At 51.7% G+C, this 19,658-nt stretch overlaps 1 protein-coding gene and 1 pseudogene across 1 annotated transcript, besides 3 other annotated features; both read left to right on the forward strand.

Moving 5' to 3' along the window:
* RNU6-45P (RNA, U6 small nuclear 45, pseudogene) lies at window positions 4,665–4,770 on the forward strand (annotated as a pseudogene).
* Window positions 8,729–9,168: an enhancer, noted in NCBI's record as "active region_4880". NCBI's record gives its function as "activates an Ori minimal core promoter by ATAC-STARR-seq in GM12878 lymphoblastoid cells {active_cell/tissue: GM12878}" and the evidence as "EXISTENCE:reporter gene assay evidence [ECO:0000049][PMID:35858748]".
* Window positions 8,815–10,738, forward strand: COX8A (cytochrome c oxidase subunit 8A). The gene is made up of 2 exons (NM_004074.3): window positions 8,815–8,989; window positions 10,420–10,738. Exons 1-2 carry the CDS (start codon window positions 8,876–8,878, stop codon window positions 10,513–10,515), a joined length of 210 nt encoding a protein of 69 aa, NP_004065.1. The 5' UTR covers window positions 8,815–8,875; the 3' UTR covers window positions 10,516–10,738.
* Window positions 11,466–12,143: an enhancer, noted in NCBI's record as "H3K27ac-H3K4me1 hESC enhancer chr11:63744743-63745420 (GRCh37/hg19 assembly coordinates)". NCBI's record gives its function as "activates a minimal SCP1, AML or CMV promoter by ChIP-STARR-seq in naive H9 embryonic stem cells {active_cell/tissue: H9 hESC(naive)}" and the evidence as "EXISTENCE:reporter gene assay evidence [ECO:0000049][PMID:30033119]".
* Window positions 12,820–13,497: an enhancer, noted in NCBI's record as "OCT4-NANOG-H3K27ac-H3K4me1 hESC enhancer chr11:63746097-63746774 (GRCh37/hg19 assembly coordinates)". NCBI's record gives its function as "activates a minimal SCP1, AML or CMV promoter by ChIP-STARR-seq in naive H9 embryonic stem cells {active_cell/tissue: H9 hESC(naive)}" and the evidence as "EXISTENCE:reporter gene assay evidence [ECO:0000049][PMID:30033119]".

Genomic DNA, 19,658 nt, shown 5'->3' on the forward strand with positions numbered 1-19,658 from the left:
GAAGCTCTGAAAAGCTAACCTTTTTAATGTCTTAATTTTTTTGTGTGTGAGAGAGACAGTTTTTTGCTCATTGTCCAGGCTAGAGTGCAATGGCCTGATCTCAGCTTACTGCACCCTCCGCCTCCCAGGTTCAAGCAATTCTCCTGCTTCAGCCTCCTGAGTAGCTGGGATTATAGGTGCTCGCCACCATGCCCAGCTAATTTTTGTATTTTTAGTAGAGATGGGGTTTCACCACGTTGGCCAGGCTGGTCTCAAACTCCTGACCTCAGGTGAGCTGCCCAGCTTGGCCTCCCAAAGTGCTATGATTACAGGTGTGAGCCACTGTGCCTGGTCCTTTTTGAGAAAAAAGCATTTTTATCTGAAGAAAGTAAATCAATTCATTCTATCTATCTAATCTATCTATCTATCTATCTATCTATCTATCTATCTATCTATCTATCAATCATCTATGTATCTGAGACAGAGTCTCGCTCTGTTGCCCAGGCTGGAGTGCAATGGAGCAATCTGAGCTCACTGCAACCTCTGCCTCCCAGGTTCAAACGATTCCCCTGCTTCAGCCTCCTGGGTAGCTGGGACTACAGATGTGTGCCACCACACCTGGCTAATTTTTGTATTTTTAGTGGAGATGGGGTTTCACCATGTTGGCTAGGCTGGTCTTGAACTCCTGACTTGAAGTGCTGGGATTACAGGCATGAGCCACCACTCCCAGCCTAAGGAATGTAAATCTTTTTAATTACTAGGCCCAGAGAGATATTAACATGAGACAGTAATTAATCTTTTGAGCTATGTGTTCATCTCTTGAAACTTCTTACTATTGCCACAAGTAGCTACACATTAACCTAACAGTGCCACACCAGACACTATAACCCATACCCTATAATGTAACACTAACCAGCCTCATTTCTATAAACCAATATTCCTTACAAACAACATTGTGTTACAGGAAAGGAGTCCCAATCCAGACCCCAAGAGAGGGTTCTTGGACCTCCTGCAAGAAGTAATTTGGGGTGAGTCCATAGCATAAAGCGAAAGCAAGTTGTTTAAGAATGGAAAGGAGGCTGGGCGCGGTGCCTCATGCCTGTAATCCCAGCACTTTGGGAGGCCAAGGCAGGCAGATCACGAGATCAGAAGTTCGAGACCAACCTGATCAACATGGTGAAACCCCATCTCTACTAAAAATACCAAAATTAGCCATGCGTGATGCCATGCGCCTGTAATCCCAGCTACTCGGGAGGCTGAGGCAGGAGAATCGCTTGAACCTGGGAGGCAGAGGTTGCAGTGAGCCAAGATTGTGCCACTGCACTCCAGCCTGGGTGACAGAGTGAGACTCCATAATCAGTCAATTTAGGCTGGGCGTGGTAGCTCACGCCTGGAATACCAGCACTTTGGAGGCCAAGGCAGGTGGATTGCTTGAGGCCAGGAGTTTGAGACCAGCCTGACCAACATGGTGAAATCCCGTCTCTACTAAAAATACAAAAATTAGCCGGGCGTGGTGGCGCATGCCTGTCATCCCAGCTACTCAGGAGACTGAGGCAGGAGAATTGCTTGAACCTGGGAGGCAGAGGTTGCAGTGAGCTGAGATGGCGCCACTGTACTCCAGCCTGGGTGAAGAGCGAGACTGTCTCAAAAATAATAATAATAAAACAAATTTGGGCTGGGCACAGTGGCTCACGCTTGTAATCCCAGCACTTCGGGAGGGCGAGGTGGGTGGATTGCCTGAGGTCAGGAGTTCGAGACCAGTCTGGCCAACATGGTGAAACCTTGTGTCTATTAAAAATACGAAAAAAACTAGCCAGCCATGATGGCATGTGCCTGTAATCCCAGCTACTCAGGAGGCTGAGGGAGGGGAATCGCTTGAACCCGGGAGGCAGAGGTTGCAATGAGCCAAGATCGTGGCACTGCTCTCCAGCCTGGGCTATAGAGCAAGACTCTGTCTCAAAAAAAAAAAAAAAAAAAAAAAAGCCTAACCTATTGAGAGTGCAGCCTGGCAGGTCTCAGCTTTATTTTACCCAGCCCCTACTCGAGATGGAGTCTCTCTGGTTCAAACACCTCTGACAATTGTATTGGCTCACTCCCTGTCCCCCCTTTTAAGTTGTTACTTTATTATTATTATTTGAGACAGGGTCTCACTCTGTCACTCTTGCGGTGGCATGATCATGGCTCACAGCAGCCTCTATCTCCCAGGCTCAAGCAATCCTCCCACCTCAGCCTCCCAAGTAGCTGGGACTACAGACACTCACATGTCACACCATTATTTTTTTGTAGAGACAAGGGTTTTACTTTATTGCTTAGTCTGGTCTTGAACTCCTGGTTTCAAGCGATCCTCCTGGCTCCCTATCCTACTTTTTTGCCTTTAAAAATCCACTTATAGGTCAGGCACGGTGGCTCACCCCTGTAATCCCAGCACTTTGGGAGGCCGAGGTGGGCGGATCACGAGGTCAGGAGATCGAGACCATCCTGGCTAACACGGTGAAACTCCGTCTCCATTAAAAAATACAAAAAAATTAGCCGGGCGGGGCGCCTGTAGTCCCAGCTACTCGGGAGGCTATGGCAGGAGAATGGCGTGAACCTGGGAGGCAGAGCTTGCAGTGAGCTGAGATCGCCCCCACTGCACTCCAGCCTGGGTGACAGAGTGAGACTCTGTCTCAAAAATAAATTAAAAAATAAAAATACAAAAATTAGCCGGGCGTGGTGGAGGGGGCCTGTAATCCAAACTACTCGGGAGGCTGAAGCAGGAGAATCGCTTAAACCCAGGAGGTGGAGGTTGCAATGAGTCGAGATGGTGCCACTGCACTCCAGCCTGGGCGACGGAGCCAGAGTCCGTCTTAAAAAAAAAAAAATCCAGTTACAACTGCTGCTAACCAGAGTGTATATTCAGGATAACTGGATTCTATGCTCCCAGGTTATAATCATCAAACTTGGCCCAAATAAGCTCTCTGCTTATGTTAATTTTGTTTCAGCTTCTTCCTTTTAGGTTGCTATTTTGTAATTTACATGCATAATGGAAATTATATTACGCTTACATTGGTAAGAGTATCTTATATCAGGAAGAGGGCTGCTCCAGACAACCTTTTTTTTTTTTCTTTTTTTTTTTGAGACAGAGTCATGCTCTGTTGCCAGGCTGGAGTGCAGTGGTGCGATCTCAGCTCACTGCAACCTCCACCTCCCAGTTTCACGTGATTCTCCTGCCTTGGCCTCCCGAGTAGGGACTATAGGCACGTGCCACCACACCCAGCTAATTTTTTGTATTTTTAGTAGAGACGGGGTTTCACCATGTTGGCCAGGATGGTCTCAATCTCTGGACTTCGTGATTTGCCCATCTCGGCCTCCCAAAGTGCTGGGGTTACAGGCGTAAGCCAAGCCTGGCCCAGACAACTTTGATCACCGGAGACTTCATCTGTGTAACAAGACGGCCTTTATTCACCATACACATCCTCCCCTCACCCTCATAACCCCTGAGAACTCCCATCCCCTGTTTCTTTCTGTAGCTCAGGATGCTATATAAGCTTCAGTCATCTGACCCTTCGAGCTACATGTTTTTTGGTACTCCCTTGTGTATGTGTATTAGGGTTCTCTAGAGGGACAGAACTAATAGGATATATGTATATAAAGGGGAGTTTATTAAGTATTGACTTACATGATCACAAGGTCCCACAATAGGCTGCCTGCAAGCTGAGGAGCAAGGAGAGCCAGTCCGAGTCCCACAACTGAAGAACTTGGAATTTGATGTTTGAGGGCAGGAAGCATCTAGCATGGGAGAAAGTTGTAGGCTGGGAGGTGAGGCCAGTCTTGTCTTTTCATATTTTTCTGCCTGCTTTATCTTCTAGCCCCACTAGCAGCTGATTAGATGGCACCCACCCAGGTTAAGGGTGGGTCTCCCTTTCCCAGCCCAGACTCAAATGTTAATCTCCTTTGGCAGCACCCTCACAGACTCACCCAGGATCAATACTTCGTATCCTTCAATCCAATCAAATTGACACTCAGTATTAACCATCATAGTATGCATCTAATTAGAAATGGTTTCTCACCTGTTGATCTGTCTTGTCAATTTAGTTCATAGTCCAGCCAAAGAACCTAGAGGTGTGGAGGGAAGCCGTTTTCCTCTTGCCTACACCTGACTGTGCTCTAATTGGGGAGTTATTCCTTTGTTTCCCAGTGCCAGACAAGCCCAGGAGGGCAGCAGGGAGGTCCTTGCCCCTTCCTTCTCCCAGTGGCAGCCAGCTGGGGCCTGGGCCTCTTAACCCTGTGCCCCTAGGGATCGGGAAGGGAGTTTAGAAGCATCTGTCCTGGGCTGTTTGCTAGGGCTCAGTGCAGGGCAAGAACAGGGACCTGGTGGTTGTGGGTGGGGTTGGGCTGAGATTGCTAAGAATGGGGCCGGGCACGGTGGCTCACGCCCGTAATCACAGCACTTTGGGAGGCCGAGGCAGGTGGATCACTTGAGGTCAGGAGTTTTGAGACCAGCCTGGCCAACATGGCGAAACCCTGTCTCTACTAAAAATACAAAAATTATCCAGGCGTGGTGGCGTGCGCCTGTAATCCCAGCTACTGGGGAGGCTGAGGCAGGAGAATCACTTGAACCCAGGAGGCAGAGTTTGCAGTGAGCTGAGATGGTACCACGGCTCACCAGCCTGGGCTACAGAGCGAGACTCTGTCTAAAAAAAAAAGTGCTCGCTTTGGCAGCACATGTACTAAAATTGGAACGATACAGAGAAGATTAGCATGGCCCTTGTGCAAGGATGACACGCAAATTCGTGAAGCGTTCCATATTTTTGAAGGGATTACAAACCAAGAGATACAAGTGGCTTCTAGAAATTAGAAAATAAAAGGTAATGGATTCTGCCCTGGAGCCGTGACAAGAAATACTGGCCTTCTGACATCTTGATTTTATATTTCTGATCTTTAGAACTGTAAGAAAATGAATTTGTGTTGTTGTAAGCCAAAAGCAAACAAACAAAAAACTAGAATGGGGTGGGGAAGGTGAGGGAGCGATGAAGAGGGATGAGCTTGGGGCCTGGGAACACATCCCTCCAGAGGAAGCTCAGACACAGCTCCCCTTCTAGGGCACCGCGAGTTCATTGCAACCTTGCTGTGACACCACCCCCCCGCCCCACCACCATGGAAGAGAAACCATGGGCTGAGGTTTCTCTTCCAAAGCTCCTGTTTCTCAATCTCTTGCCATCCCATCGCCACCCCCTGCCACAGCCTTTGATGTTATTAACCTCAATGTCAAAACTGGAACTTCTGGGAAGTCCACCTCTGCAGCAGCATGTGTGGTGGCTAAAAGCATGGCTTTTGGAGGCAACAGAACTGCCCTGTAATCCTGGCAAGGCAGCCTTGTAGCTTCATGATCTTGATCAAGTCACCTGACTCTTCAGGCCTATTTCCTCATTTGTAAAAAATTCGAAATAGGGCAGGCGCAGTGGCTCCCGCCTGTAATCCCAGCATTTTGAGAGGCCACAGTGGGAGGATTGCTTGAGCCCAGGAGTTCAAGACTAGCCTGGGCAACATAGTGGGACCCTGCCTCTACAAAAAATAAAAAGCCAGGTATGGTGGTGTGTGCCTGTAGTCCCCAACTACTCGGGAAACTGAAGCAAGAGGATCACTTGAGCCTGGGAGGTCGAGGCTGCAGTGAGGTGTGGTCGTGACACTTCACTCCAGCCTAGGCGACAGAGCAAGACACTGTCTCAAAATAAAATAATTGAAATAATAATAGCATCTATTTCATGACATTATTGTAAACCTGGAATGAGATTGTACCATTAAGACCTGGCCCAGGGGCTGGTCCCACACCCCCTTTCTCATGTGCCTTCTACCTAGTTCAATACTGTTCAGCCTCCTGCAGTTTATAAACATTCTGAGTGTCTGGTTGGAAACAGTGGTGAACCAACACAGGCTCTGCCCTCAGGTGGCCCCTAGTCTTGATGGAGACCCACCATGTGGGGCAGGGCTGACACAGGTGTTGCTGGGCACAGAGGAGACACAGGCTTGGGGTGACCAGCGAAGGCATCCTGAGTAGTGCCACCCCACATATCTTCCTAGCACATCATGGTTTTATTTTCACCGTGACACTTACACAATAGTTTCTAATTAAGTGCCTGTTTATTGTCTGTTTTTTCCCTCCAGAAGTCAGCTTTGTGACAAGAAACTCTATCCACCTCGTTCATACTGGTGTCTACAATAGTTCCTAACACACAGTAGAGGCTAATAAATATTCACTGAATAAAGTAAGTGGTATCATTAACTGGAAGCCAGGAAGCAGGAGTTAGCATGGTGAAAAAGGCAGCCTGCATAGGAGCTGAAAAAATGAACATAAAATGCAGAAGCAACGCCGGGCACAGTGGCTCATGCCTGTAATCCCAGCACTTTGGGAGGCTGAGGCGGGCAGATGACATGAGGCCAGGAGTTCAAGACCAGCCTGGCCAACATGGCGAAACCCTGTCGCTATTAAAAATGCAAAAATTAGCCGGGTGTGGTGGCATACACCTGTAATCCCAGCTGCTTGGGAGGCTGAGGCAGGAGAATCGCTTGAGCCAGGGAGGTGGAGGTTGCAGTGAGCTGATATTGCACCACTGCACTCCAGCCTGGGTGATGCATGTCTCAAAAACAAAACCCAAAGTGCAGAGGCAAGGCCAGGTGCCCTGACAAATGCCTGTAATCCCAGCACTTTGGGAGGCTGATCTGGGTGGATCGCTTCAGCTCACGAGTTTGAGACTAGCCTGACTAACATAGCAAGACCCCCCTCCAGCTCTACAAACACTACAAAAATTAGGCTGGGCGCTGTGGCTCATGCCTGTAATCCCAGCACCTTGGGAGGCCAAGGTGGGTGGATCGCCTGAAGTCAGGAGTTCGAGACCAGCCTGGCCAACATGGTGAAACCTTGTCTCTACTAAAAATACAAAAAATAGCCGGGCATGGTGGCAGATGCCTGTAATCCCAGCTACTCAGGAGGCTGAGGCAGGAGAATTGCTTGAACCCGGGAGGCGGAGGTTGCAGAGAGCCAAGATAGTGCCACTGCACTCCAGCCTGGGCAACAGCGCAAGACTCTATTTCAAAAAAAAAAAAAAAAAAAAAAAGCCAGGCATGGTGGTGGGCACCTGTAATCCCAGCTACTTGGGAGGCTGAGGTGGGAGGTTGGCTTGAGTCTGGGAGGTGGAGGTTGCAAGGCTGCAGTGAGCCGAGATCACACCACACTCCACTCCAGCCTGGGCTTAGAGCTAGACCTTGTCTCAACATCAATAACAAAATGCAGAGTGCATTTTGAATGCAACAAAAGGCTTGTTGGTGGAAATCAGAGAGCAGGGTCGAAGGTGTGGAATATTGAAGAGTTTTGAGAGTTGAGGCTGGACAGTGACATCCGGGAATTGGGATTTTGACTAGGAAGCAATGGGGAGCCACTGAAAGTATATGACTTGGTCAGATTTAGGTTTAAAAAACCAAGAAGGAAGGGATGGGGGAGGGAGAGAGAGTGATAGGGTAGGAAGGAAGGGAAGTTGGCTGCTCCAGCATGGTAACTGGAATTGAAGAGTGTAATAGTAATTGAGGGAGGTTTGGTTACTAGGTCAGTGTCAGGAATTCTCAACAAAAACGACGGAGGCCTGGTGGAGAGGAGGGGACTCTCAATAGAGAGATTTTTTTTTTTTTTTTTTTTTGAGACGGAGTCTTGCTGTGTCGCCCAGGCTGGAGTGCAGTGGCGTGATCTCAGCTCACTGCAACCTCTGCCTACCGGGTTCAAGCAGTTCTCCTGCCTCAGCCTCCCTAGTAGCTGAGATTACAGGCATCTACCACCATGCCTGGCTATTTTTTGTATTCTTAGTCGAGATGGAGTCTCACCATGTTGGCCAGGCTGCTTTCGAACTTTTTTTATTGTTGTTTTTTATTTTTGAGATGGAGTTTCGCTCTTGTGGCCCAGTCTGGACTGCAATGGCTCAATCTCGGCTCACTGCAACTTCCGTCTCCTGGGTTCAGCAATTCTCCTGACTCAGCCTCCCGAGTAGCTGGAATTACAGGCGCCCACCACCATGCCCAGCTAATTTTTGTATTTTTAGTAGAGACGGGGTTTCACCATGTTGGCCAGTCTGGTCTCGAACTGTTGACCTCAGGTGATCCACCCGCCTCGGCCTCCCAAAATGTTGGGATTACAAGCGTGAGCCACTGCGCCCGGCCAATTTTTGTATTTTTCGTAGAGATGGGGTTTCACCATGCTGGCAAGACTGGTCTCAAACTCCTGACCTCAGATGATCTACCGGCCCCGGCCTCCCAAAGTGTTGGGATTACATGCGTGAGCCACTGCGCCCGGCCAATTTTTGTATTTTTCGTAGAGATGGGGTTTCACCATGCTGGCAAGACTGGTGTCAAACTCCTGACCTCAGATGATCTACCCGCCCCGGCCTCCCAAAGTGCTGGGATTAGAGGCGTGAGCCAACGCGCCCAGCCCGTACTTTTTTTTTTTTAGTACAGACGGCCTCCCAAAAGTTCTGAGATTACGGGCGTGAGCCACCACGCCCAGCCTGAATAGAGAGAGATTTAACAGTATGAATGAAGGGAGGAGTCAAGAACAGTTTAGGCTTCTCGCGTACATGATTGGGTGGCCCCAGATGTCATTCACAAGTATAAGCCTTGGAGGCGGAACATAACTCGAAGAAGAGCCCTTTTGTGCTCCGCCCATAGCGTAGGAAGGTGTCAATTGGCTGTTTCGAGGAACGCGCCAAAAACTGCCAAGGGCTGTGGGAGGTGTGTTCTTGCGTCATTTCCGAGAGACTTCCGCGCCGCAGTTTCCCTGCTTCCCCAGCTCCAGAACTTCCGGCCAGCGCAGCCATTTTGGCTTCCTGACCTTGGGCTACGGCTGACCGTTTTTTGTGGTGTACTCCGTGCCATCATGTCCGTCCTGACGCCGCTGCTGCTGCGGGGCTTGACAGGCTCGGCCCGGCGGCTCCCAGTGCCGCGCGCCAAGATCCATTCGTTGCCGCCGGAGGGGAAGCTTGGGATCATGGTGAGGAACGGGCCTGGAAGAGCGCGGGAGGCGCCGTGGGCTGACCCCTTCTGCCTAGCTGACCTCAGGTGGTCCTGAGAATGCCTCGCGCCCCGCAGCGTAGCGGGGAGCAGCAGTGCCGGTTTGGGCATGTCTGGAGGGCGCGAACGACGGGGACAGTGCCCGGGCGACAGTCGGGGCTGTCGGCGTTAGGTCTTTCCCCACAGCCCCAGGATCTCGGGTCTGGTCCTGTCAGGCCCTCCCTCTCCTGTCGCCTCCTCGCTGCGCCGCCTCCTGCCGACTTCTTTAGCCGCTCTGAGCCCATTTTCTCGTTGGTTCACTGGGGGATGCCTGACGCTGTCAGCGACGAAAATGGTTGTTACTGCTATTTATTTTATTTTATTTTATTTTACTTATTTATTTTGAGACGGGTTCTCGCTCTGTCGCCAGGCTGGAGTGCAGTGGCGCGATCTCGGCTCACTGCAGCCTCCGACTCCCGGGTTCAAGCGATTCTCCTGCCTCAGCCTCCCGAATAGCTGGGACTACAGGCGCGTGCCACCATGCCCAACTAAATTTTGTATTTTTAGTAGAGACGGGGTTTCACCATGTTGGCCAGGATGGTCTCGATCTCTTGACCTCGTGATCCGCCTGCCTCAACCTCCCAAAGTGCTGGGATTACAGGCGTGAGCCACTGCGCCCGGCCTGGGAGGGGGTTTTCAGGCAAGGAAGGATAGGTATCGTTTTGGAGTTACTGGCCCATGCAAGGATCCTGGGTCTTAACATACAGGCTTTGCTTTTTTTGTTTGTTGTTTGTTTTTTTGAGACGGAGTCTTGCTCTGTCACCCAGGCTGGAGTGCAGTGGTGCGATCTCGGCTTACTGCAACCTCCGCCTCCCAGGTTTAAGCCAAGCCATTCTCCTGCCTCAGTCTCCCGAGTAGCTGGGATCACAGGCGCCCGCCACCACTCCCGGCTAATTTTTTGTATTTTTAGTAGAGACGGGGTTTCACCATGTTGGTCAGGCTGGTCTCTAACTCCTGACCTTGTGATCCGCCCGCCTTGGCCTCCCAAATTGCTGGGATTACAGGTGTGAGCCACCATGCCCGGCCCAGACCAGCTTTAAAACAGGTTTCAATAAATCCTGCTTCCTGTCCCTTCCTTTACCATCTGGTGGTGCATTTCTCCCTGAACCCTAACCCCAGCTGTCTCTCCTTCCTCTCACTCTTCCCCCTCCTTATAACTGACCCTTTACCTCAAGGGTTAGCGTAGCTTTGGACCTGCTCTGTCTGCTCCGTGGAGCGTGGATTCCTTTAACGTGAGGATGCGGGGCCTCCCACTTGCCTCTGAGTCCTGGCTCCCTGAGCGGGGCTTTCTGCTGCCTGGGAACTGCAAGGACTTAGAGAGCCTAGGGGAATACTGACTCCGAGGTGCCTTCTTTCTTGTGCTCTGTGTAGGAATTGGCCGTTGGGCTTACCTCCTGCTTCGTGACCTTCCTCCTGCCAGCGGGCTGGATCCTGTCACACCTGGAGACCTACAGGAGGCCAGAGTGAAGGGGTCCGTTCTGTCCCTCACACTGTGACCTGACCAGCCCCACCGGCCCATCCTGGTCATGTTACTGCATTTGTGGCCGGCCTCCCCTGGATCATGTCATTCAATTCCAGTCACCTCTTCTGCAATCATGACCTCTTGATGTCTCCATGGTGACCTCCTTGGGGGTCACTGACCCTGCTTGGTGGGGTCCCCCTTGTAACAATAAAATCTATTTAAACTTTACTTCAGAAATTCATTGTGCCTTCCCTCCTGCCTGGGCTCATGCCTCCACTGGCACTGGGTGGAGGTGTGGAGAAGAGCGCCCGGCTGGCTGCCCTGTGGTAGGTTTTGTGTGCCTCAGCTGGACTCCTCGTGTGCTTCTGTACCTTTAAATGGTGCCTGGCTTCCTGGGAAGACAAAGCCTGTTGTCATTGTGCAGCTTTTCTGGCTCATCCCCTCCAGCTCCCTTGTTTGTGCAAAGCCCAATGGGCGTGTATGTGTCTGTGTGTGTGTGTGTGTGTGTGTGTGTGTGTGTGTGTGTGTGTCCCACTGGGGCTGGATCTTCAGCTAGAAGCCTTTCCTCTAAGGGGCCAGCCTTCTCTGGTCTTCCTTTTTGGTGGACTTCATTTCTTAGGTGCTGGTGCCCTTCCTAATTGGGGGTAGGGACTTTGCAGAATCTTGGCTTTTTTTTTTTTTTTTTTTTTTTTTTGAGACTGACTCCTGCTCTGTTGCCCAGGCTGGAGTGCAGTGATGCGATCTCGGCTCACTGCAACCTCCGCCTCTCAGGTTCAAGGGATTCTGCTGTTTCAGCCTCCTGAGGCATTACAGGCACCCACTACCACGCCCGGCTAATTTTTTTTTGTATTTTTAGTAGAGACGAGGTTTCACCATGTTGGCCAGGCTGGTCTCGAACTCCTCCTGACCTCAAGTGATCCACCCACCTTGGCCTCCCAGAGTGCTGAGATTACAGCCACTGCGCCTGGCAATCTTGCCTTTTTAATTTTTTTTTCAAGACAGAGTCTTGCTCTGTCACCCAGGCTGGAGTGCAGTGGTGTGATTTCGGTTCACTGCAACCTCTGCCTCTGGTGTTCAAGCAATTCTCCTGCCTCAGCCTCCTGAGTAGCTGGGATTACAGGCACATGCCACCACACCTGGCTAATTTCTGTATTCTTAGTAGAGATGGTATTTCACCATGTTGGCCAGGTCTCAAACTCTTGACCTTGTGATCCACCCTCCTCGTCCTCCCAAAATGCTGGGATTAACAGGCGTGAGAGACCGCTCCGTGCCCCCGCTTTTTTTTTTTTTTTTTTTGAGGCTAGACTGCAGTGGCGCAATCACAGCTCTGTAGCCTTGACTTTGACTGCAGCCTTGACCTCCCAGGCTCAAGCGATCCTCCCACCACAGGTTGTACCCCAGTAGCTGGGACTATAGGCATGTGCTACCACCATGCCTGGCTAGTTTCATCTTTTTTTTTTTTTTTTTGAGACTGAGTCTCACTCTGTTGCCCAGGCTGGAGTGTAGTGGAACAATCTCGACTCACTGCAACCTCCGCCTCCCGGGTTCAAGTGATTCTCAGCCTCCTGAGTAGCTGGGATTACAGGCGCTCGCCACCATGCCCGGCTAATGGTTTTTTTTTTTTTTTTTAAGTAGAGATGGGGTTTCACCCTGTTGGTCAGGCTGGTCTCGAACTTCTGACCTCGTGATCCGCCCACCTCGGCCTCCCAAAGTGCTGGGATTACAGGCATGAGCCACTGCGCCCAGCCATACCTGGCTAGTTTCTTAAAACATTTTCTTGTAGAGATGGGGTCTTACTATGTTGGACAGGCTGATCTTGAACTCGTGGGCTCAAGTGATCCTCCTACCTCAGCCTTTCAAAGTGCTGGGACTACAGGTGTCAGCCACTGCGCCTGGCTGCTTGCTTTTTTTTTTTTTTTTGAGACAGAGTCTCGCTCTGTCGCCAGGCTGGAGTGCAGTGGTGTGATCTCGGCTCACTGCAACCTCCGCCTCCTGGGTTCAAGTGATTCTCCTGCCTCAGCCTCCCGAGTAGCTAGGACTACAGGCGTGTGCTACCACGCCCAGCTAATTTTTGTATTTTTAGTAGAGATGGGGTTTCATCATGTTGGCCAGGATGGTCTCGATCTCTTGAACCTCAATATCTGCCCGCCTCGGCCTCCCAAAATGCTGGGATTACAGGCGTGAGCCACCGCCGCCGGCCCCTGCTTGCTTTTTAAATGTCAACTCCAGGGCCCCTTTCCTTCTAACACTTTCCATACATGGTTATGGACTAATTGTCTTTCTTCATTCTATCTGCCAGCTTCCCTTTCTCCTCCTCTGTTTGACTTGGGGAATCTGCCATTCCTCTGTCCCCAGGAGTCCTTCCTCAGTGATTCTTTCTCCTGGTGTGTGAGGGGCAGGAAGTACCTCAGCAGGGGCAATGTTCCCAAACACTGCACGCTGAGCTGGAGTCCTGATTGCCAGCATCTGGAAGGAATACTCGGACCTGCCGGGTCCCACCCTCGAGGAAGACATGGCTTTACCTCTCCTTTGCATCCTCTTTGCTGGGGTGACTTGGTTGATTTCTGAAAAGACACAGGTTCAGTCTCCCCTGTGGAGCTGAGGCTGCCAGGACGCCTGTGCCTGGAACAGTGGGCAAAGATGTCAGGTGAGAGGGGAGGGCTGTGGTTGGCCTCAGGCCCTGAGTGTCTGAACACACGTCTTCCTAGCTCCTGTTCTGCAGGTTGTTTCCTGATTTATGTTGACAGAGCTGAGGGTGGACCTGACTCTCCTGCCGTAGCCTGGTCTTGCTTGGCTTTTCTGCGTGATGCCCAGGGAAGCCTGTGGGGCCCAGTGCCTGATACCGTACTGGGTTTAGCTCCTGCCATAGCTGTTTCCCTGAGCGTTAGGAAATTGTCCTCTGCCTCCTAGGTGGCTCCTTTCCTTCCACACAAGCCAGACTTTGTATATGAGGCTGAAGGGTCAGGGCCTAGTTGGAGGGCCGGGGAGAAGCTGCCTGGGCCTGTTGCCCCTAGTGGGGTTCAGAATGCTGCAGGTGTGCCCGGTGGGAGCATCGGCCAGGGAGGGGAGAGCCTATGTTGGATCTGGAGCCAGGATGGGGTACTGACCTAGGAGAATCCACCTGCCACATACAGGTATCACAACAGGTCCCTTGTTTCTGGATGGAGGGTCCTCATGGCCATCTTCCACACAACAGGACCACCCCTTGTTCTGTGCATGGTTCTGGGAGGCTTTTCTGCTTACATTAGTCCCTGTGGAGGTGGGACCTGAGCGCCCCCTGACTGTCCTCTCAGGCCCATCTCCTGGCCTGGCTGGCAGCTCCCTGGCCCTGGGGACCAGCCACTGCGGTGTGGGAGGCCGGGGCATTCCCACCAAGCCTGCACTTCTTGAGTAGAGGGCCCTGAGTGTCCTGGCCCTTGGTTGACTCAGGGCTGCTTTCCTCTGGCTGTGGGCACAGATGAGGTGCTGGTCTCATAACCACGGGGCTGCACACAGCAAGGACGTGGCACTGGAAAAAGTGTGATCTTGAGTTTTTCTTTTTTTTTTTTTTTGAGACGGAGTTTTGCTCTTGTTGCCCAGGCTGGAGTGCAATGGCACGACCTTGGGTCATTGGCAACCTCTGCCTCCCGAGTTCAAGCGATTCTCCTGCTTCAGCCTCCCGAGTAGCTGGGACTACAGACATGCACCACCACACCCAGCTAATTTTGTATTTTTAGTAGAGATGGGGTTTCTCTATGTTGGTCAGGCTGGTCTCAAACTCCCGATCTCAGGTGATCCACCCGCCTTGGCCTCCCAAAGTGTTAGGATAGGCATGAGCCACTGTGCCCAGCCTTCTTTTCTTTCTTTCTTTTTTTTTTTTTTGAAGACAGAGTCTTGCTCTGTTGTCCAGGCTGGAGTGCAGTGGCACGATCTTGGCTCACTGCAGCCTCCGCCTCCCAGGTTCAAGCAATTCTGCTGCCTCAGCCTCCCAAGTAGCTGGGACTATAGGCGCAGGCCACCACACCTGCCTAATTTTTGTATTTTTAGTAGAGATGGGGTTTCACCATGTTGGCCAGGCTGGTCTCCAGCTCCTAACCTCAGGTGATCCTCCTACATGGACCTCCTAAAGTGCTGGGATCACAGGCGTGAGCCACTGCACCCAGCCTGTTGTCTTGAGTTTCTTTTCTTTCTCTTTTTCTTTTTTTTTTTTTTGAGATGGAGTCTTGCTTTGTCACCCAGGCTGGAGTGCAGTGGCGCCATCTCGGCTCACTGCAAGCTCTGCCTCCCGGGTTCATGCCATTCTCCTGCCTCCGCCTCCTGAGTAACTGGGACTACAGGCACCCGCCACCACGCCTGGCTAATTTTTTGTGTTTTTAGTAGAGATGGGGTTTCACTGTGTTAGCCAGGATGGTCTCAATCCCCTGACCTCGTGATCTACCCGCCTCAGCCTCCCAAAGTGCTGGGATCACAGGCGTGAGCCACCGCACCCAGCCTGTCTTGAGTTTCTATGGTAACTCCACTGCCCTGCTAAGGGTTTGATTGGGTGTCCTCCATTTTTGTGCCCCTGGAATTGAATGATGGGTGCTGGTCCCCCTCCGAGGAGGACTGCTCCAGCCCAAAGTTTGATTGATTGAGCCACTGCCCCAACCTGTGCAACACCAATGGCTCCAGGCAAGTCCTTCAGGACCCTGGTCTGAAGAAGCCCTCAGCAAGCCCAGCAGTTCCTCCAGCCCCTCTTCCTCCCACAACCTGCCATGTCCTGCATTTGTGGGGATGGGTGGGGTGATGTATGTAGGGGTGGGCAGGACAGTGTAGAGTTTGAGTGACCTATCACGTTTGAACCCCAAACTCCTTGGTCCCCTGTGTGGCCATTAGGTCTGAAATCCGGTCTTCCACTGGCCTACCCTTGTCCCCAACCAATTCAGGGCCCTGGAGCAATTCTCTATAGAGAAAGCAAGGATCCTTATACCCCAAACATTTTCTGTGTCCACATGTGTGGGTTTCTGTGCCTGGTGTGCATGCTGACTGGAGAGGCTAAAGTCCCGGCAGGTGCTGTAATGTCAGGAACAGTGGTCTGGGAGTGGGGAGGCTTGGGCTTGAGGCCTGGCATGGCCACTGAACTGTACGACCTTGGGCAAGTCATCTGGTCTCTGAATCTCAGTTTTGTAAAATGAAGATATTGTGGCAGACAGAATAATGGCCCCCCGAAAATGCCCATGGTCTACTCCCTGGAACCAGTGAATATGTTATCTTACATGGCATGGGGGCTTTGTAGATGTGAATAAGGTCATGACCTTGAAATGAAAGGCTATCCTTGGAGATCCAGGCGGGCGCAATGTCGTCATAAGTCCTGAAGTGAGAAGCACTTAGCCTACCGTTGCTGGCTTTAAGGACAGAGGAAGCGGGCCATGAGCCAAGGACTGCAGGGGCCTCTAGAAGCTGGGAACAGCCCTCCTTTACAGCCAGCAAGAACATGGGGACCTTGGTCCTACCTTCTGCCAACCCGAACGAGTAGGAAGTGGATCTCCTTTAGAGCCTCTGGAAAGAAATGCAGCCTGCAGACACCTTGATTTTAGTCTGGTGAAACCCAGACTTCTGACCTCCTAAAGTGTAAGAGAGGCTGAGCATGGTGGTTCACACCTGTAATCCCAGCACTTTGGGAGGCTGAGGCAGGTGGATCACGAGGTCAAGAGATCGAGACCATCCTGGCCAACATGGTGAAACCCTGTCTCTACAAAAAATACAAAAAATTAGCTGGGCGTGGTGGTGGGTGCCTATAATCCCAGCTACTCAGGAAGCTGAGGCAGGAGAATCGCTTGAACCCGGGAGGCGGAGCTTGCAGTGAGCCGAGATCGCACCACTGCACTCCAGCCTGGGGAACCGAGCAAGACTCCGTCTCAAAAAAAAAAAAATTGTAAGAGAATAAATTTGTGTTGTTTTAAGCCACTAGGTTTGTGGTGACTCGTTACGGAAGCAATAAGGAAAGTAATGCATCATGTGGTGCTGTGAGGCCCTGGGGAGGGTCTGGGCCCAGCTGCTGGGACCGTCTGCAGGCATAAAGTGAAGTGAATGTACAGCACTTACAGTGGGTGCCCCAGCGAGGACTGGGGTGGTGGGAGTTGCTTGGGAGGGGCTCTGCCTGCATTGCCTCTGCCCCTCTGCTTGCTTTCGGCCTTAGGAGGTCTGAATCCTGCAGGTGACTCACAGCCCAACTTATGGCCCTGAGGCATAGACCCTGCTCTGCCGCATCAGCCTTTGCTGCTGTCAAAGCCTCCCTAGACCACGATTTCAGGGCTGCTGCCTGGAGACTCTCGTGGGTACAATGCAAGGTTTATGTGGGGGCCAAGCATGCCCCTACTCCCGCTGTCTGGGCAGCTGCCCGACTCCCAAGCCTGCACCGAGAATGGTCGCCTAATCCCCATGTGTGGCCCACCCTTCCAGGCTTTGGGCTGGCCACACCTTCCTGTGAGGACTGTGGCTGTTCCAGGGCCCATGCCATGCCCCTGTTGTCTTGGTCCATTCAGCCTGACTCCCTTCCCTGAGAGGCAGAGGCAGAAGAGATTGGGTGGGTCTGGAGCCATGTGGCCCCTTGGGGCCTCTGGGCTGTTGTGTAAACTTCCTCTAAGGCTGAAGTTTCACAGTCCCTGAGTCCCACTATGGGGTCTCCTCCCCTCCCTCCACCTGATGGAATCCCATGGACATGGATGTGGGGTCTGGGCAGGCACCAGTCTGGCAGGTTGGTGTGAGGAGGCATCTGTGCTATGTTGGCACTCTGGCTGCTACCTGTCACCTCTGTGACTGTCTCCGACATGCAGCCTCAACCAAGTGCCTGTGCTGCCTGTGTCATTACAGGCCCTTGACAGGAAGGACCAGCAGCATGGGACCATTTCCAGGGTGGCAAACTGGGGAGCAGAGACAAATGTCTGGGGCTGTGCCAGGGGCTCCTGGCGAATCTGCAGATGGGTTTTATTTTAATTTTATTTATTTATTTATTTTTCTTGAGACAGTTTCACCTGTTGCCCAGGCTGGAGTGCAGTGGTGCAGTCACGGCTCACTGCAACCTCTGCCTCCCGGGTTCAAGTGATTCTCCTGCCTCAGCCTCCCGAGTAGCTGGGATTACAAGCGCCCGCCACCGTGCCTGACTAATTTTTGTGTTTTTAGTAGAGACGGGGTTTCACCATCTTGACCAGGCTGATCTCAAACTCCTGACCTCATGATCCACCTGTCTCGGCCTCCCAAAGTGCTGGGATTACAGGCCTGAGCCACCATGCCCGGCCAAGGGTTTTATTTTTTTTATTTTTTGAGACGGAGTCTCCCTCTTTCGCCCAGGCTGGAGTGAAGTGGCATGATCTCGGCCCACTGCAACCTCCAGCCCCTGGGTTCAAGCGATTCTCCTGCCTCAGCCTCCCGAGCAGCTAGGATTACAGGTGCCTGCCACCACACCCAGCTACTTTTTTTGTATTTTTAGTAGAGACGGGGTTTCACCACGTTGGCCAGGCTGGTCTCGAACTCCTGACCTCAGGTGATCCATCCGCCTCAGCCTCCCAAAGTGCTGGGATTACAGGCGTGAGCCAGCGAGCCCGGCCTGCAGGTGGGATTTAGATGATTCAGGATAGAGAACCAAAATCCTCACACAGTAAAATTAACAGGACAGATGGAATGAGGATAAGAGAACAGTTATTTACTTATTTATTATTATTATTATTTTTAGATGGAGTCTCGTTCTGTCGCACAGACTAGAGGAGTGCAGTGGCTTGATCTCGGCTCACTGCAACCTCCGCCTCCCAGGTTCAAGCTATTCTTGTGCCTCAGCCTCCTGAGTAGCTGGGATTACAGGCGTGCGCCACCACAGCCAGCTAATTTTTGAATTTTTGGTAGAGACAGGGTTTCACCATGTTAGGCTGGTCTTGAACTCCTGACCTCAGGTGATCCACCTGCCTTGGCCTCCTAAAGTGCTGGGATTACAGGAGTGAGCCACTGTGCCTGGCCAAGAGAACAGTTATTAACCACCAAATAAACCATCATTGAAAAGAGCTAGGCAAGGCCAGGTGCGGTGGCTCATACCTGTAATCTTATCACTTTGGGAGGCCGAGGCAGGCGGATACCTGAGGTTGGGAGTTCGAGACCAGCTTGACCAACATGGAGAAACCTCGTCTCTACTGAAAATACAAAATTAGCCAGGCATGGTGCTACATGCCTTAATCCCAGCTACTTGGGAGTCTGAAGCAGGAGAATCGCTTGAACCCGGGAGGCAGAGGTTGCGGTGAGCCGAGATCGCTATTGCACTCCTGTTGCTGGGACTACAGGTGCATGCCACCACACCTGGCTAATTTTTTTTTTAATGTTTTTTATAGAGATGCGGGGGTGGGTCTCCCTGTGTTGCCCAGGCTGGTCTCCAATGAAATTCTCCCAGCTTGGCCTCCCAAAATGCTGGGATTACAGGCATAAGCCACCACACCCAGCCATCTTTGCTATTTAAAAAATTAAACGTGGCTGGGCGCGATGGCTCACGCCTGTAATCCCAGCACTTTCAGAGGCCGACGTGGCCGGGTCATGAGGTCAGGAGATCGAGACCATCCTGGCTAACACAGTGAAACCCCGTCTCTACTAAAAACACAAAAAATTAGCCGGGCGTGGTGGCGGGCGCCTGTAGTCCCAGCTACTCGGGAGGCTGAGGCAGGAGAATGGCTTGAACCTGGGAGGCAGAGGTTGCAGTGAGCCAAGATCGTGCCACTGCACTCCAGCCTGGATGGTCAGAGAGAAACTCTGTCTCAAAAAAAAAAAAAATGTTAAACGTAATTTTTAGATAATTCACAGGGAACTTAAAGAAGTTATAAAGAGGCCGGGCGCGGTGGCTCACGCCTGTAATCCCAGCACTTTGGGAGGCCGAGGCGGGCGGATCACGAGGTCAGGAGATTGAGACCATCCTGGCTAACACGGTGAAACCCCGTCTCTACTAAAAATACAAAAAATTAGCCGGGCGTGGTGGCGGGCGCCTATAGTCCCAGCTACTCGGGAGGCTGAGGCAGGAGAATGGCGTGAACCCAGGAGGCGGAGGTTGCAGTGAGCCGAGATCGTGCCACTGCACTCCAGCCTGGGCGACAGAGCGAGACTCCGTCTCAAAAAAAAAAAAAAAAAAAAAAGAAATTATAAAGATTCCATGTATCCT

Source organism: Homo sapiens, chromosome 11 (genome assembly GCF_000001405.40).
Source record: "Homo sapiens chromosome 11, GRCh38.p14 Primary Assembly".
Lineage (NCBI taxonomy): Eukaryota > Metazoa > Chordata > Mammalia > Primates > Hominidae > Homo > Homo sapiens.

Coding starts and splice junctions, on each gene's coding strand:
- COX8A (NM_004074.3), top strand. CDS start 8,876: ATGTCCGTCCTGACGCCGCTGCTGCTGCGGGGCTTGACAGGCTCGGCC. Junction 8,990..10,419: donor AGGGGAAGCTTGGGATCATG/GTGAGGAACGGG, acceptor TGCTCTGTGTAG/GAATTGGCCGTTGGGCTTAC.